At 41.2% G+C, this 16,086-nt stretch overlaps 1 protein-coding gene and 1 long non-coding RNA gene across 9 annotated transcripts in view; one reads left to right on the top strand and one right to left on the bottom strand.

Annotated features, from left to right (window-relative positions):
* The window catches only part of COL28A1 (collagen type XXVIII alpha 1 chain), a 205,677-nt gene that overhangs the window by 160,257 nt on the left and 29,334 nt on the right, over positions 1 to 16,086 (top strand). For 7 of the 8 annotated variants that reach the window (XR_926936.4, XM_011515360.3, XM_011515358.4 and 4 more), the window contains 6 exons: positions 2,002 to 2,070; positions 2,752 to 2,832; positions 2,919 to 2,954; positions 8,117 to 8,153; positions 10,068 to 10,616; positions 12,732 to 12,889. Coding sequence is in view for 7 of the 8 variants with exons in the window: in XM_011515360.3 (XP_011513662.1) it covers positions 2,002 to 2,070; positions 2,752 to 2,832; positions 2,919 to 2,954; positions 8,117 to 8,153; positions 10,068 to 10,616; positions 12,732 to 12,889 (930 nt within the window). In the remaining variant the exon portion in view is untranslated. Of the gene's footprint in view, positions 1 to 2,001; positions 2,071 to 2,710; positions 2,833 to 2,918; positions 2,955 to 8,116; positions 8,154 to 10,067; positions 10,617 to 12,731; positions 12,890 to 16,086 lie in introns of those variants that run through there. The other variant, XM_047420313.1, reaches the window with a different exon arrangement.
* LOC107986764 (uncharacterized) overlaps positions 6,202 to 16,086 on the bottom strand; it is a 106,009-nt gene continuing 96,124 nt past the window's right edge. Inside the window, exons 2-3 of the long non-coding RNA XR_002956539.2 lie at positions 6,978 to 7,053; positions 6,202 to 6,344 (exon numbers count right to left, since the gene is read on the bottom strand). This is a non-coding gene — a long non-coding RNA (uncharacterized LOC107986764). The remainder of the gene's footprint in view (positions 6,345 to 6,977; positions 7,054 to 16,086) is intronic.

Below are 16,086 nucleotides of genomic sequence, written 5' to 3'. Positions count from 1 at the left end.
ATCATTTATTGGAAATTTAAAATATTAAAAATATCAGCCAGGTGTGGTGGCTCATGCCTGTAATCCCAGCACTTTAGGAGGCCGAGGCAGGTGAATCACCTAAGGTCAGGAGTTTGAGACCAGACTGGCCAACATGGTGAAACCCTGTCTCTACTAAAAATACAAAAATTAGCCAGGCATAGTGGCACACACCTGTAATCCCAGCTACTCAGGAGGCTGAGGCAGGAGAATCGCTTGAACTTGAGAGGTGGGGACTGCAGTGAACTGAGATCACACCACTGCACTCCAACCTGGTTGACAGAGTGAGACTCTGTCTCAAAAAAAACACACACACACACACACACACACACACACACACACACAACAAAAAAAAGATGTATTATTTTGAAATGTAGTTAAAGCATAAAAACATGGATATGAATGATAAATATGAATTTCAGATAGAGATTTTTTCTCTCAGAGAAATAGGATTGGGGATGAGTACCTAAGAGGTTTGAATTGTATCTGTTTTATTTTTTAACGTGGTAGATAGGTGTTTACTTTATTCTATATGATTTTTGTTTTGAAATATTTCATTATAACAATTTAAAAGAGAATAGGCCCTTTTGATTTGAAACAGCTTGACAGCCAATGAACAAGGTAAAGGAGGCTTAGGGATGTTGAGGTGCCCAAAGTTGTAATGGTCTCCAAGCAAACCTCTGTGGCCCCTTCCAGGAGTGCCTCGTAAATCCCATCATGCCTCCTGGAGTAGTGGCTCTCAAGCTTTAGCAGACTTATGGCAAAATGCATATTTTGCCTTTACCTTCACCTGTGATTCTCATTTAGTTGGTTTGAGGTTGGGCCTGGGAGATGCAATTTTTATCAAGCATGCCAATGATCTTGGTGGGGATGATCAGGATAGTTTTGAAAACCACAGATCAATCCCGAGGAGCCCGTGGTCCTTCAAGCCTTTGCCAGAGACTCATTACTAATAATTATCCAGAGTCAAATAAGGATTGAGTATAAGATCCAAGGAGCATTAGAACTATGACTTTGTATACTTGCTAGTGATTGTTTCTGTTTCATGCTCAACACCATGAAACCCCTTGGAAACTGTGTGGTTTGGGTGGGGCAAGAAATAATGTTAAAATGTGATGGAGAAATCTGGAAACAAGTCCTGAATGTTGCTACAAATTATGAGAGATGGAACTAACAGTATAAAGGGAATTACATAAACAATAACTTGGCATTAATTGTGGATGGATGCTGTTATATACTCTTTTCCCCGTTACTAAAATGACATTTTTTTTCTGTTTTTTTTTTTGAGATAGAGTTTCATTCTTGTTGCCCAGGCTGGAGTGCAGTGGTGCAATCTCAGCTTATTGCAACCTCTGCCTCCTGGGTTCAAGCAATTCTTCTGCCTCACCCGCCTGCATAGCTGGGACTACAGGTGCGCACCACCATGCCCAGCTAATTTTTGTGTTTTCAGTAGAGACAGGATTTCGCCATGTTGGCCAGGCTGGTCTCAAACTCATGACCTCAGGTGATCCACCTGCCTCAGCCTCCCAAAGTGCTGGGATTACAGGCATGAGCCACCGTGCCCAGCCAATAACATGTGTTTTTTAACATACCAGAAAACATGGAAAAATGTAAAGAAGATGGAACCCACCTTTACTACCATAGCTGAAATAGCAGCTATCTGTTATGTGTGAACTGGTTGATGTGTTCATAGCTTGAATTAGCCACAGTGAAAGTATTTACACCACAGAAATAGGCAAATGGCATAAATCAGAGCCCTCACTCCTATCCTAGTCTTAGTTGTTAAACACTTACTAGCAAACCATTGAGCCATACACATACACACATACACATATGTATTTATATACATATATATATATATTTCCCCTAATATTTAGATAATACTATAATGCAGTTTTAAACCGTAAGTGTGTTTCTGACCCAAAGAATAGCCAAGCTATCCTGGGAAATTAATAGAACATCTCTTTCTCATATCCTATGTAGGGGGAACAAGGACCACAAGGCTTCCCAGGCCCAAAGGGCACAATGGGCCATGGCCTCCCAGGCCAGAAGGTAAGTGTCTCAGGATCTTAGAGAAATGCTTAGGCTTAGGATCGCAATAGCTTAACTTTAACTTTGGAAGAACTCTCATATATGTGTCACTCTTCCCCTTACAACTCTCAGAAGAAAAACAATCCACTCAAAATAAAATCCTCGTGCATTGCTTTGTCTACCTATAAATAGGTTCACTTTATAAAATGTCCTTTTCTTTGAGAGCTTCAGGTAGGGGGATTGCTTGAGGCCAGGAGTTCAAGACCAGCTTGAGCAATATAGTGAGATCCCATCTCTATGTTTAAAAAAATCTCATTTTCTTTATTCTCAGAAGATAACTAATAAAGGATTTATTAGTTATCTTACAACATACTTACAACATACCATGTAGGAGATACCAGATAACTCAGGTACCCGGTAAATTGTGTAATAATTGTATGTCCTGAAAGGTGAGCCGATTAGATGGTATTATATCTCAAGGTCTCTTCACTCTGAGACCTCTGGTTCATCATGAATTAGATTATGGTATCTGATGGGATGTAAATAAGTTACCCCCAATTTTTTTTCAAATACTGCATTTGTATAAACAAGAACTGAAGGTCTTCAAGAGATGCCAGTTGCAGATAACCAAATTATAGAGCTTTTCTTATCTGGCTTTTAGATTCACATTCTGAACCTATCATTTTACCCTATTGTGTAAAGGGAGAGCACGGAGAACGGGGCGATGTGGGAAAGAAAGGTGATAAAGGAGAAATTGGAGAGCCTGGATCTCCAGGAAAACAGGCAAGTAGTTTTTAATGTCTCACTGTGATTTTATACTCTAACTGGTTCCAACCTATATTGACTTTTACTCTTCTTCCACTAAGTAGGGTTTACAAGGACCCAAAGGAGACCTAGGACTTACAGTGAGTATCCATTCTAGAGGGTAATTGAGGGTTTTGTGCTTGCAAAATTGTTGCATTCATGCTTTAGCTTTAGAATTATGAATTTTTTGGATGCAGAATCCCAGTTTCTATTTAAATGAGATCAACTACTACCAGCCCAGTGTTGGCTTAGATGCATGAGGTAATTGAATCTGACTATGAGGGGAGAGATAAAACCTTGTCCTGCCTTGTGGTGGGTGTGTGTGACTACTCCACTCGGATGCTTGGTAGAAATGATCACACTGCTGTTACTGGCCAACAAGGAGGTGAGCTGTTTCAAAAAAGCCAGATTACCAAATGACTTTAATTTATGTGGTTCGTCTCATTTTAGAATGAGGACTCTTTTTTCCTGAACTAGTTCCTTTAGAAGTGCTCTGAGAAGAGCAGCAATCACAAAATTGAGATTATAGTTATATATTGATTCAATTATTCAATAAGTATTTTCTGAGCATCTATAAACGTTTCCCTGTTCTTCTCCCCACACCATTAAGAACAGAAAACTGACTCTTTAAAGTCTCATGAGTGGAAGGCAAAGTCTCATTCTTCCTTTCTGCTTTGAAGGCAATCTGTCTTCTGGGGTTGAGGAAAATCACAGACCTTTTCCTTTTTTCCTGTTAGACTTTTCCAGGGTTGTGGTCTAGCGGGGCTGATTCGATGTACTAGGAACATCCAAGTGTGAGGGAGTGGCAGTTCAGGTGGTGAAGGCAAGAGCTGAGAGCTGGGCATGTGACCAACAGAACTGCACATGTGTTCTGCGGGCTGTCTGCCTTTTTCTCTTTGTTGTTCCCCACCACAAGTCAGACCCCGAAAGATGCCCATAGTAGATGAAGTAGCTACATATGCACAATTTCTCCCCAAAAGTAGCAGGGGAGAGTGTATGTAAATGAGCAGAGGAACGTTCCCTGTAGGTTTATACCTGCCCTACTGTCCCAACGTGGGGAGAGGGACTGGTTTCCTTTCTCCATTCATTTATTCATTCATTCATTTCACCAACCTTTATTGGATGTATCCAGTAAACCTTACTCTGGATCAGGCTCCAAAATAGGCACTGGGGAAATAGTGGAGAGTGAGGCTACTTCTTGGAACTGAGAGAGCTCACAGCCTGGTGGAGAGAAAGACAACAAAGATGTTCACCTACGGAGTGATAAATGCTATGATAGAAGATGTGGTCTCGGGGTCCAGAGCAGACAAAATGGTGTATGATGGTGTTTGAGGGCAGGATAGGCTTTATCTCTTGAGTGGAAGCTTTTCAACCAAGAGGCAGAGACCTTAGAAGTAGGGACATCATTCTGCTGACTTTGGTTTTCTAGATTCTGGAAGAAGAGACTAGCAAGACGAGAAGAGTGAAGGAAAAGAGAATTTGCATTAAGTGAGAATTTAGTGTGTGACAGGCTCTGTGTTAGGCTCCTGTACATCAGTACATGTTAGGCTCCTTACCTAGTACTGCAGGGTGTTTTAGAGGCCCCCGCTCTGGAACCCTCGTCCTTCTCCAGCTGCGCTCCTTCCTCCAGGTTAGAAGTCCTTGGGGCCAAAGGGCATGCACATATGTTCCTCTATGCCACACTCTGGATGCATGCAATTCCAGAATTCTCAGTTGAAATGGCCACAGGTTTGGAGAGCTGAAGCACTGGCCTGGATGCATGGGCCCAGCCAAGAAGTGGCCAAACAGCAGGTGGTTTCAGGGGATTTGGACAGAGCTTGGAAATGAGGACTGGTTCACAGCATGAATGCTGGCCAAACCCCCATGCAGTGTAGGACTAGTGGGTTGTGGTACAAGAAGACGGTGACAGGCTGATGGCCATAACCTTCTCTTACCTAAGATCCCACCTTTAATCTGCATGACAGCTCCATGAGGTAGACAGTATCTCCACATCAAATGGAGACACACAAGTCAGGTTGGACATTACGCCCAAAGTCATCTAGCTGGCACGTAGCAGAGCCCTTATAGCTAGAGGTGGCCTGTCTGATACCAAGTTCAGGCTGCTCCCCCATGAAAGCTGTTCTCAGAAGGCCTCTTTCCTCTCCCCCTCTTATCCTTTCTGTGATCGAATGTATCCCCCAATAGCTATCAATTGTGCAGATTCATTTCAGACTAACAAACTCCTCTTTTAAGAGGCAAATGCCATTGATGGCACTAAATGTTTTAATACATCTCATAAAATTATTTGAAAAGACTCTGTTTCTCCACATGTCACTTCGGTGTTAGCATTTCCCGGTGTCTGGCCCCAGTCTTCCCTGTCTTCAAACTCTCAGGGAATGTAGCCACTAAAGGCAGGGGGACATATAGTTTGAAAAGGCTAATTCTATAGTACAGTGAAAGCATATAGTGAATGAAAAAATAGTGTTTTTATTTTAAGCAGAAAGAATGTGTTTATCAAATGTGGGGAAGGAGAAACACACCGGTTTCAAAAAGGCTGAGCAGCCCTGTTCTAGGCAATCTTACTTTTAGTCCCTGTTTTAACAGCCAACTGTACATTGGCATTTCTTAAATCTGCCTCCTGCCCGGACAATTCTCCCAAGCGCCAGATCTTACATCCTTGGCTGCCCGTGGACATCTCTAGGTGGATGTCTTATAGACGTATGAGACTCAGCCAGACTCAAGCTGGGCTCAGTCATCTTCATGAGCTCCCAACCTGCCCCTATCCCACTCCTGCCTCTCTCAGAGTATGGCCCCACTGTCATTTGCCTCCTCTTAGACTCCTTCTTTCCCTCATCGTTTCTTCCAGTTATTCACCAAGCCCCTCATTCTTCTTCTGGAATGTCCCTCCAGGCCTGTCCTCCTCATCCATTACTACTACCACAGCCTTCTGATGTCTGGTTTTTTTTTTTTTTTTGCGTGAATTATTGAGGAACCTCAAACCCCTCCACTGGCTGCTATGATCATCTCTCTTAAATAAAAGTTCCACCAGAGCTCTTCTCTGCCTAGGGATCATGTGAGTCCCACTGCCCAGGAGAAAGTTCACACTCTTCAACATGACACAAAGGTCTTCAAGAGTCCATCTGTCTCCAACATTTCTTGTCATTGTTTCTGCTATGTGCCCTAATTCATAAGTTTACTCGAGTACTGTAATGCAGTATGCTCTGACAGAAGGCCGACCACCTTGCCTGAACGCTCCCCTTCCCTGTCCCAGCCTGGTCAGAGTCTGCCTCCTTGGACCACAGTCCCATCCTCAGTTTCCTGCCCCAGGAATTCCCAGCAGATCGAGATGGTTCCTTGGCTCTCCATAGCACTTATGAAAGTCTTCGTTTGTCTGCTTCTTCCTGGACTGTGAATCCTTTGAGGGGTATAAATATGATGCCTTCATCATTGGCACCAAGTAGCCAAGGTAGTTATTCAGTGATTTCAGTGGAAGGAATGAACTCTTCCAGTCACTTAAATGCAAAGAACATGAAGAAAAAATTTACATATATGGTAACTTCAAGCATTTTAAACCTGATTATGCCACAAAATATGTTGCAAAATTAAAATCTAACCTTGATACATGCATTGCTCTTATAAGTGAATAAAAAGCAAATATTCCCATAGAAAAAGATAAGACAAAGAACATACACAGATTGCACAAGAGAATACAACCTGGAAACATGCATATGAAATGAAATGTAGCCTCATGAATAATTTAATTCGTGTAATTTAAAACAATGAGAGATTTTGCTCTACCAATTGACAGTGATGATATAATAATAATAGCCAGTATTGTGTGGCTAAAATAAAACAGATTTTCTTATATACTGCTGTTGGAGGTGTCAGTTAGCACAACTTTTCTAAAGTACAGTGTGAGAGTGTGTATCGCAGAGCCTTTAAATGGCCGCACATTCAATTTCAGTAATCAAGTTTTTCAGAATCCTTAATAATGTGGAAAATGAATTATAATATAGTATTAGGTGACAAATTATAACCATAAAACTTGGTGTATTTTCTCCGTTTATAAAAAATTAAACATAAATATATAAATACATATATTTCCCCTTTCTAGATATACTTAATATAAATATATAAATACATACATTTTACCTTTCTGTACATGTTCTTGTTTCGGATTTTTTTAAATGCCTTTTTAAATGCGGAAAAGCATGACAAGGCCTAGAAAAAAAGAAGACTGTTGACTCTCATTTTGTAGAATTGTATTATATAACTCAGCACTGCAGTAGATGTTCTTTTTAAATAGCCACTTGGAATCGTTAGCTTTTACTTAGTTTACAGTTTAAAAAGTTAAATTAAAATACTATGAATATTCCCCACATATTCTACTTTTAAGCCATGTTACAGGCTACATCACCTCCACCTCGATTTGACATTATAGATTTGTTCTTAAAAATTTTACTTTTGCACCTGTTAAACTTTATTTTCTTAGATTGGGTCCACTGGTCCTTCCTGTTGAGATCTAGGCTTCTGTTAATCATCTCTTTTAGCTTTAAGTGTTTGGCAAATGTGGAATCCTGCCTTCTCTAGTCTCATTGTAGTTACTTATAAACACACTGCACAGGGAAGGGCATTGGCAGCTTTATTTCTAGTACCCAGCTCATTTCAGGCCCTTCTGATGGAGCTTGTGGGCAGCAGGACAAGAAAAGGGCGTTCAGGAACATGGGGAAATGTCACAGAAGAGCCAAAGTGAGGGTGTTAAGAAGCTGAAGAGAGGACTTGAAAAATCAGGAACTAGTACAGAAAAAGAAGAGAAAATACAGCATAGAATGAATTCTCTGTAGGCATTGCGGCTTGTCTTGGTTGCTCAGCACATGTGGTTTAAATTGTATAACTGAATGTATATATAGCACCACAGCACCGTAGGTATGTTAAAGTTGCCAGACCCTGTGCTAATGTGTGCATAACATTGATTAATCCATACCATAGCCCTGAGACACAGATACTGTTAGGGCACCAAATGCCCGAGGTCACACAGCTGATAAATGCTGCAGTTGCAATTTGAATTCCAAAAGTCTCAGCTGTTAAGTTTCACAGCTCAAACGCATTTTAGTTATGGTCTATTATAGTCAGCTTTTGACTTCTGTGTTGTTTATTTTATTTTCTGCAGTGGAAGGATTAAATCAAATGGTCCAGTGCTGATTGTAATGAGATATCTTTTATGGCTCTAGGAAAAATATTATAGTCATACATATAGTAATACATTTTTCTTTTTATCCCCTAGAAAGAAGAAATTATCAAACTTATTACAGAAATATGTGGTAAGATTTGATCAAGGAAAAAACATCACTTTAAAGCATCAGCCCCACTATGTACTGTGCTGGTGACAGAATGTGTTCGTCCAGATGTATATTATATAGCTAGCGGGAAAATGTGAAGCTCATTTGAAAAGTCGATGGAAACTGAAAGGAAGCAGTAAGAGAGACTGTGGGAATCCTGATGTAAGGAAATAAAATCATCTTCCCAGGCTGGTTAAGGCATGTGAAGGTGCCAGCCTAGGGTATGTAGGCAGCCGGGCCTTTTGTTAGCACAGTGCTCGTTTGTATTCAGTGACATTTACCTGAGCTGAGACGAAAAACTCAACAAAGGAAATATGACTACAAGAGCCAAACTGGTATTTGAGTCCAGCCTAGCTGGTGATTAGAATGTCTGTGTTTTTCCCGAAGCCATGAATTCTTTCTGAGTAGAGTTTTGAGTTGTACTCAGTCCCAAAGGTGGGAGGACAGAGTCAGGTATTCACCTTGCTTCACAACTACTAAATGCTTCCATGACTGAATGGTAGACTTAGAATTACCAGAAAGAGGAAGTAAAGAAATTAGCCAAAAGACAAGAGACTAATGGAATAATGATGGGAGAATCTTCTGGGTTTAAAGTGGTCAGAGGCAGGCATATTGTCCTTCTATACAGAGAATCCCAGAACCAGCTTATTCCCTAAAAGACTGCTGGGCCTAAGAAGCAGCCTGGGAGTCTCTCTAGTGAGAGACCAATCTAGACATGGCTTCTGGGTTCTAGAAGCCCTATAAAAATAGCACATGATTTCCTGATGGTTTTCTGTGGCAGGCTTGTTGAACAACAGGAAGATATGAATAAAGAAACAGAATCCTGATAATTTATATTTCCTGATGACTCTGGCAACTGCTTTAAGTGGTTGTTTATCAACCTAAATGGAAGGTTTTTTTAAATTGACTAGTGTTCTCGGGGATTACTCCCCTCAAAAGCTTTCATAGCATGGATGTACTGCTGGCCTCCTTGATAACGTGAAAGCTGCCATAGTTGTCATTGTGGGTGACTGGAGACATCAACTAGAGTAGTTAGGGATAGCTGTTCCTGTGTACATTTAAGGTCCCAATCCTTCTACCACAATGACAATTTTTCATCCCATTACTTCATCCATTGGCCAGCCTGGTGAGCAAATTTCAATTTTCACATAAGGCTATGGTTGAAGACTGAAATATCAGCTTTCAGATTCAGATTAAATACAATGGTGGGATGATAAAGAGCAAATGTCAGATGGTGGTTACCTCTCTGGGAGAGGAAGAGGAATGTTATTGGGACGGCATCCACAGGGCATCCTAACTCTTTTAAAAATATTTTATTTTATAATCCAAGAAACGAGCACATAAGTATTTATTATTTTATCAACTACGGTGTTTTTCCAAGTATATATATATATATATATATATTTTTTTTTTTTTTTAAGAGTCAAGTATAGAAACCAGAAGGGGCCGGGCGCGGTGGCTCACGCCTGTAATCCCAGCACTTTGGGAGGCCGAGGCGGGCATATCACGAGGTCAGGAGATCGAGACCATCTTGGCTAACACGGTGAAACCCTGTCTCTACTAAAAATACAAAAAATTAGCCAGGCGAGGTGGCGGGCGCCTGTAGTCCCAGCTACTCGGGAGGCTGAGGCTGGAGAATGGCGTGAATCCCAGGGGACGGAGCCTGCAGTGAGCCGAGATCGCGCCACTGCACTCCAACCTGGGCGACAGCGAGACTCTGTCTCACAAAAAAAAAAAGAAACCAGAATGGAGACAGCTGTCAGGTATTTTCACAATCACAGAAAAGGAAGAGAATAGTTTAGGTCTCAGGTTCATCATTGACTTTTTCTCCCCTCCCCTCAACAATCTGATGTCAATCATTCCCACAATTTTTCTCTCTCAACATTCATCTTTTAGGTTGTGGGCCCAAATGCAAAGAGACTCCACTAGAGCTGGTGTTTGTGATCGACAGCTCAGAAAGCGTGGGGCCAGAGAACTTTCAGATCATTAAAAATTTTGTGAAGACTATGGCTGACCGGGTTGCTCTGGACCTTGCCACGGCCCGCATAGGCATAATCAACTATAGCCATAAGGTGGAGAAGGTGGCTAATTTGAAGCAGTTCTCCAGCAAGGATGACTTCAAGTTGGCTGTGGACAACATGCAGTATCTGGGGGAAGGCACATACACAGCCACTGCTCTGCAAGCAGCCAACGACATGTTTGAAGATGCAAGGCCAGGTGTAAAAAAAGTGGCCTTGGTCATCACTGATGGACAGACAGATTCTCGTGATAAAGAGAAACTGACAGAGGTGGTGAAGAATGCCAGTGACACCAATGTGGAGATATTTGTGATAGGGGTGGTGAAGAAAAATGATCCCAACTTTGAAATATTCCACAAAGAAATGAATCTAATTGCTACTGACCCAGAGCATGTTTACCAGTTTGATGATTTCTTTACCCTGCAAGGTAAGGAAGGCTATCTGGCCCAGGGGAAAGGCATTTATGTTGTTCCTCTAAGTACCATATCACTGGTTTGTCCTGACCAAATAGAAAAATCTGGAGGCTAATAAGGCTTATGCCAACATTAAATGGTAACACGTAAACTCCAGAAGATTAAAAATGTTTAATATCATTCAGTTTGGAGGGTACAATCCCTTGTCTTTATTAAGGGTTAATAAATGCTGAGTTGGCCTTGGAGTTAACTAGAGTCCATGGTCAACAGACAGGAATGGAGAGAAAGAATAGGACTTGGGAGTATTGCTAACATTGGTTAATGTTCAGAAAGTTACCTAACTAAAATAAGGGATCGAGCAAGCCAACAGCAAGGCAGAAAACAGTCAGGAAATCAAAATGAATTAAGAAGTACCTGCTGAATGAAAAAAAAGTTATGGTCATCTAAAGAGATGAGAAATGCAAGTAACTGGGATTAATTAGAGGGGATGTTCTATTCTCTGTTTTTATGAAAGCAGATAATGATGAATAAACAGGTTGATATCGGGAATTTATCTCAAAAGAACAACCATTTATTTATTTATTTATTTATTTATTTATTTATTTATTTATTTTGAGACGGAGTCTCACTCTGTCACCATGCTGGAGTGCTGTGGTGTGATCTCAGCTCACTGCAACCTCTGCTTCCCGGGTTCAAGTGATTCTCCTGCCTCAGCCTCCCAAGTAGCTGGGACTACAGGCACGCGCCACCATGCCCGGCTAATTTTTTGTATTTTTAGTATAGATAGGGTTTCACTGTGTTAGCCAGGATGGTTTCGATCTCCTGACCTCATGATCCACCCGCCTCGGCCTCCCAAAGTGCTGGGATTACAGGCATGAGCCACCGTGCCCAGCCAAAGAACAACCTTTTAAAATTCATTGTACAATGCCAGGCACAGTGGATCACGAGGTCAGGAGTTAGAGACCAGCCTGGCCAGCATGGTGAAACCTCGTCTCTACTAAAAATACAAAAATTAGCTGGGCATGGTGGCGTGTGCCTGTAGTCCCAGCTACCCGGGAAGCTGAGGCGGAAGAATTGCTGGAACCTGGGAGGCGGAGGTTACAGTGAGCCGAGATTGTACCACTGCACTCCAGCCTGGGCGACAGAGCGAGACTCTGTCTCAAAAAATAAATAAAAAATAAATAGAATTTATTGTACAGCCAGTGCTAATCTGATGGGCTTCTCTATGCTAAGTTTATCCTTTCACATTAACTGATATTTACTAATGAGCCATCCTAGGACATTGATCTAATTTAAGCTATGATTAAATTATGGTCAGTATGACTTTATAATAAAATTTATCCCAATTCTTTGGAAACCGATTATTCATTCTGGCAGGCCTGTACCTGGCAAGTTTGTGAAGTAAGTGAAAGGCTTCAGTTTGGCTTCATCCTTCCTCCTTCACCCACCTGGGAGTGGAGTCTGATGTGGCTGGGCACAGCCCATCAGTGCCTCATGCCCTGCCTATGCCGTGTACCAGCACACTGGCCCTAAGGAAAGCATACCATTCTCAGAAACTTTTTTGCTATTTCTCACCTTCTCCAGAGCTTTCTAACCTAGGGTTCTACTTCATCAGTACCCTGCTGGCTGACTGGTGGGTTTGTTTATCTGATATATTCAATCTCACCCAGCTGTGAATGTGTCAGAATAGCCAAAGACATTTCAGAGCCAACTTATATTTTAATCCTTGAAGAGCTTTATCATTATATCTGGAGTTAGTAATTTGTTACAGCCTGTAAAGAATATTTGCAACTGGCTGGCCATTTGCTCTCCTTAAAACCAGAGGTAGCTGCCAATTCAACTTATTATGGGTGAGGCTAGCTCTTGACAAGGAGTGATTCACGTTGAACAGAGACACTTTGGATGAACATACATTCAAGTCATTCTTTTGCCTCTTTGTGTCATATATATTATTTTAGATGACCTCTTACACAGGATGTAAAAATGCTTTTATAAGTTCGTTAACTTAGCAGTTGATTTCAAGTAATGGGAAATTACATATTTTAAGGAGAGTGCAGATCTTTTTAAATGAGTTTTAAGTATTGTTTCATTGCTTCTACTATCTCTCTTTTCTACTTCTTTTTTAAAAGACACCCTGAAGCAAAAATTGTTTCAAAAAATTTGTGAGGATTTTGATTCCTATCTCGTTCAAATTTTTGGTTCATCGTCACCTCAACCTGGATTTGGGATGTCAGGGGAAGAACTCAGTGAATCTACTCCAGAGCCTCAAAAAGAAATTTCTGAGTCAGTAAGTAACTGTCTCACTTACTTTGTGAGCTTAAAATGGTGTATTCTCTCTGTTTCATATCAAAGATCATTCTGCCCTGCATTGTCAAGAATCAGCTGAGGCACGTGTATTTTTAGGTCCTTGGCTCTAAATGTTAGTATCTTGACTCTAGATTTCCAGTTCTGAAATAGCATTAGGTTTTGTAGGATATTTTTAAAAACTTGCATATTTTATAAGTATTTATTAAATGTTGCTGATAATATTTTTATATTATACTCCTATTACCATCAAAGTAACCATGTATGCTGAAACAGATTAACACAACACTCTGAATTCACCTAGTTGCCATGCTGTGCAGTGCCTTTCATACCAGGCCACAACTCTCCCTCTTCGTCTGTGCATCTGCTTCCCACTTTGTACCCTCTCATGTCTTTTCTAAATACGCATATGCCCAACTGGCCACTCTCCCACACTCCAAGCCATGTGTTTGCTCATTTGGCTTCCACCTCCTGTGCTCTGAGTGAGGACTGTGAGGGAGGCTATATATGCATATGGTGCAAAGTAGATGCTCTGTTTCAGAGCTCCTCAATCACATAGTATGTGAAGAACCACCTCCTGAATCAATTGAAACAAATGTGACTGTCCTCATAGCAAGCTTCTGGGAACTGACTTCAGCCAATCAGATTATGGGCAAATATTAGTTTTTTTAAGGAGAAAATGGGGGAGCCTTTTTTAGTTACCGATGAGTGCTATAGTCTCTTCTCCACCAAGTTGCAACTTGGGCAAGTCTAGACCCATTTCTATTAACCCCATGGACATCCTCTGGCAAGCAGGCACATAACAGTCATGCCCCTGTTCTGTAAGCTCAGTAAAGTCCTTGCATTGCCCTTTTCTGAAGCCTTCATGTACATGAAAGAGTGATCATGAGCATGTGCAACAGTGTTCTAACATCAGGATTCAGCTAACAGTCTACTTAGACTAAGGCCCTAAGGAACATTCGGATCAGTAGTTGGACTCAGGGCCATTCAGGAATCAGGCCTAGGATACCATTCCTAAGGGCACAGGCTATAGAACTCACTAGATTCTCGTATCCTGTTCACAAAAGTGCAGAAAGGCCTCTAACATATTTCTATTTGATTAAATAGTAACCAACTGCAAAATGGGTAATTCCAGTCAGGGCAATAGATTCTACTAAATTGCAGATTGAAATTAACACAAACATTTATACTCCATGGTCTATACCAGGTGTCAGCAAACCCTGTAAAGGGCCATATACTGAATAGTTTTGGATTTTCAGGTAATTTGATTTCTGTTCCAATTACTCAGCTCTGCGTTTGAAGTAGAAACATAGCCATAGATAATACTTAAATGAATGAGTATGAATAAGTTCTGATGAAACTTACTCACAAGAACAGATAGTGACTCAGATTTGGCCCACAGTGGTTTGCCAACCCTGATCTATATTGTGCATTTTAAAGTAAATTCCAGACAATAATGGACACAGTCTATCTCCTCCTGAGCATGGACCGCTACTGGGGCCTCTCCTGTTTGTGTGACTTACCACTTTGTCCCTCTCCTAGTCAATCAACATCCCTTTCTAAAGCCTTCCTAAACAAGAGCAAGCTCAGGTTTCATCCAGGAATTGATGCTTAAACTGAGCCCTCCTTATAATCACTGAATCACATTTTTTGCTATATTAATACCAATGAATTCCAATAGCATGTATTGATTATTAACTGCTGTGATAGATGGTGTGGCTCTTAAGACATGGCTCCTGCCTGAGAGAAGCTCACATTTTTTCAGGGAGATAGGTAAGTACAAGATGCATTATGAATTTTAGCCAGAGCTATGAAGGAAGCACAGAGATGATGCAATTAATTTCAGGGAAGAGTAATGGGAAAGTGTCTTAGTCTGTTGGGGCTGCCATAACAAAAATACCATAGACTGAGTGGCTTAAACAACAAATATTTATTTTTCACAGTTCTGGAGGTTGGGAAGTCTAAAATCTGGTGTTTGGTGAGGGCTTGCTTTCTGGCTTGTGAACAGCCACCTTCTCGTTATGTCTTCACATGGCTGAGAGACAGCTCATCTCTCACATCACTTCTTATAAGGGTATTGATCCCATTCATAAAGGCTCCACCCTCATGACCTAATCACCTCCCAAAGTCCCCACCTTCAAATACCATCACACTGGGGATTCAGGTTTCAATGTATGATTTTTGGAGGGACATAAACATTTAGTTCATTACATAAGGCATCACAGAGGAGGTGACATTGAGTCAAGTTTTAAGAATAACTAGGAGTTTTTCAAGAGAAGAGCAGGGGGAAGGGTATTCCTAGCAAAAAACAAAAAAAACAGTAGGCAAAGGGAGTCTTTAAAGTGCCATGGCATTTCAAGAAAGTTGAACAAATTCAGTCTAATTGTAGCCTAGGGTGTGGGTGGCAGAGTGATGAGAGCTAAAGCTGGACAGGTAATTTAAGGACTAATTATAAATGTCTTAATGTATTAAGGCAAGGAGCTTGAACTTCATCTATAGGCCAGGCAGGCAGAGACAGCAGAGGAGTTTTAAAAGCAAGAATCATATAGTCATATTTGGTTCACAGAAAGAATAACCCTGATTGCTGTGTGAAACATACCTAGGAGGAGGAGGTGAGGAGACTGGAGGCTGAGATATGAGGCGTGATAGTCCAGGAAAATGATAATGAGGCCCTGAAAGAAGGCAGGGGCACTGGGAATAAAAAGGAGGCACAGATTGAAAAGCCATTTCTAGGGTAGAATTAACAGGATATAGTGATTGAAAGGATTGGAGGTGAGGGAGAGGGAGGGGTTTGGGTAGGACTGTCAGGTTTCTAGCATGGAGATGAGATGGATTGAAACACTATATACTGAGATGGAGAATATAAAAGGCAGGGTGGTTTTTTTTTTTTTTAAAGGAAAATAGTGAGTTTAGTTTGCACCATGTAAAGTGGAGGTGCCTGAGGGACATCCAAGGCAGTTATGACACGTAATGAGGAAAAGTAAGAACAGATCCCTCTGTATCACATCCCAGGAAGCCTGATGGCCTTGAGAGACAAATGACATTAACAGACTAGGACATATGAAGCTTTCTAGTAGCTGGGGAGGGGAGGACGTAAGAAAAATACAACCAAAATACTCTGGATTTATAACACCAAGAGCCACATGAAGGGAAACTGAACATCAGCTAGGTCTCTCTAGG

Source organism: Homo sapiens, chromosome 7 (genome assembly GCF_000001405.40).
Source record: "Homo sapiens chromosome 7, GRCh38.p14 Primary Assembly".
NCBI classification, from domain to species: Eukaryota; Metazoa; Chordata; class Mammalia; order Primates; family Hominidae; genus Homo; species Homo sapiens.
The sequence above is the reverse complement of the archived record's forward strand: the minus strand, read 5'-3'. Positions and strand labels throughout refer to the sequence as shown.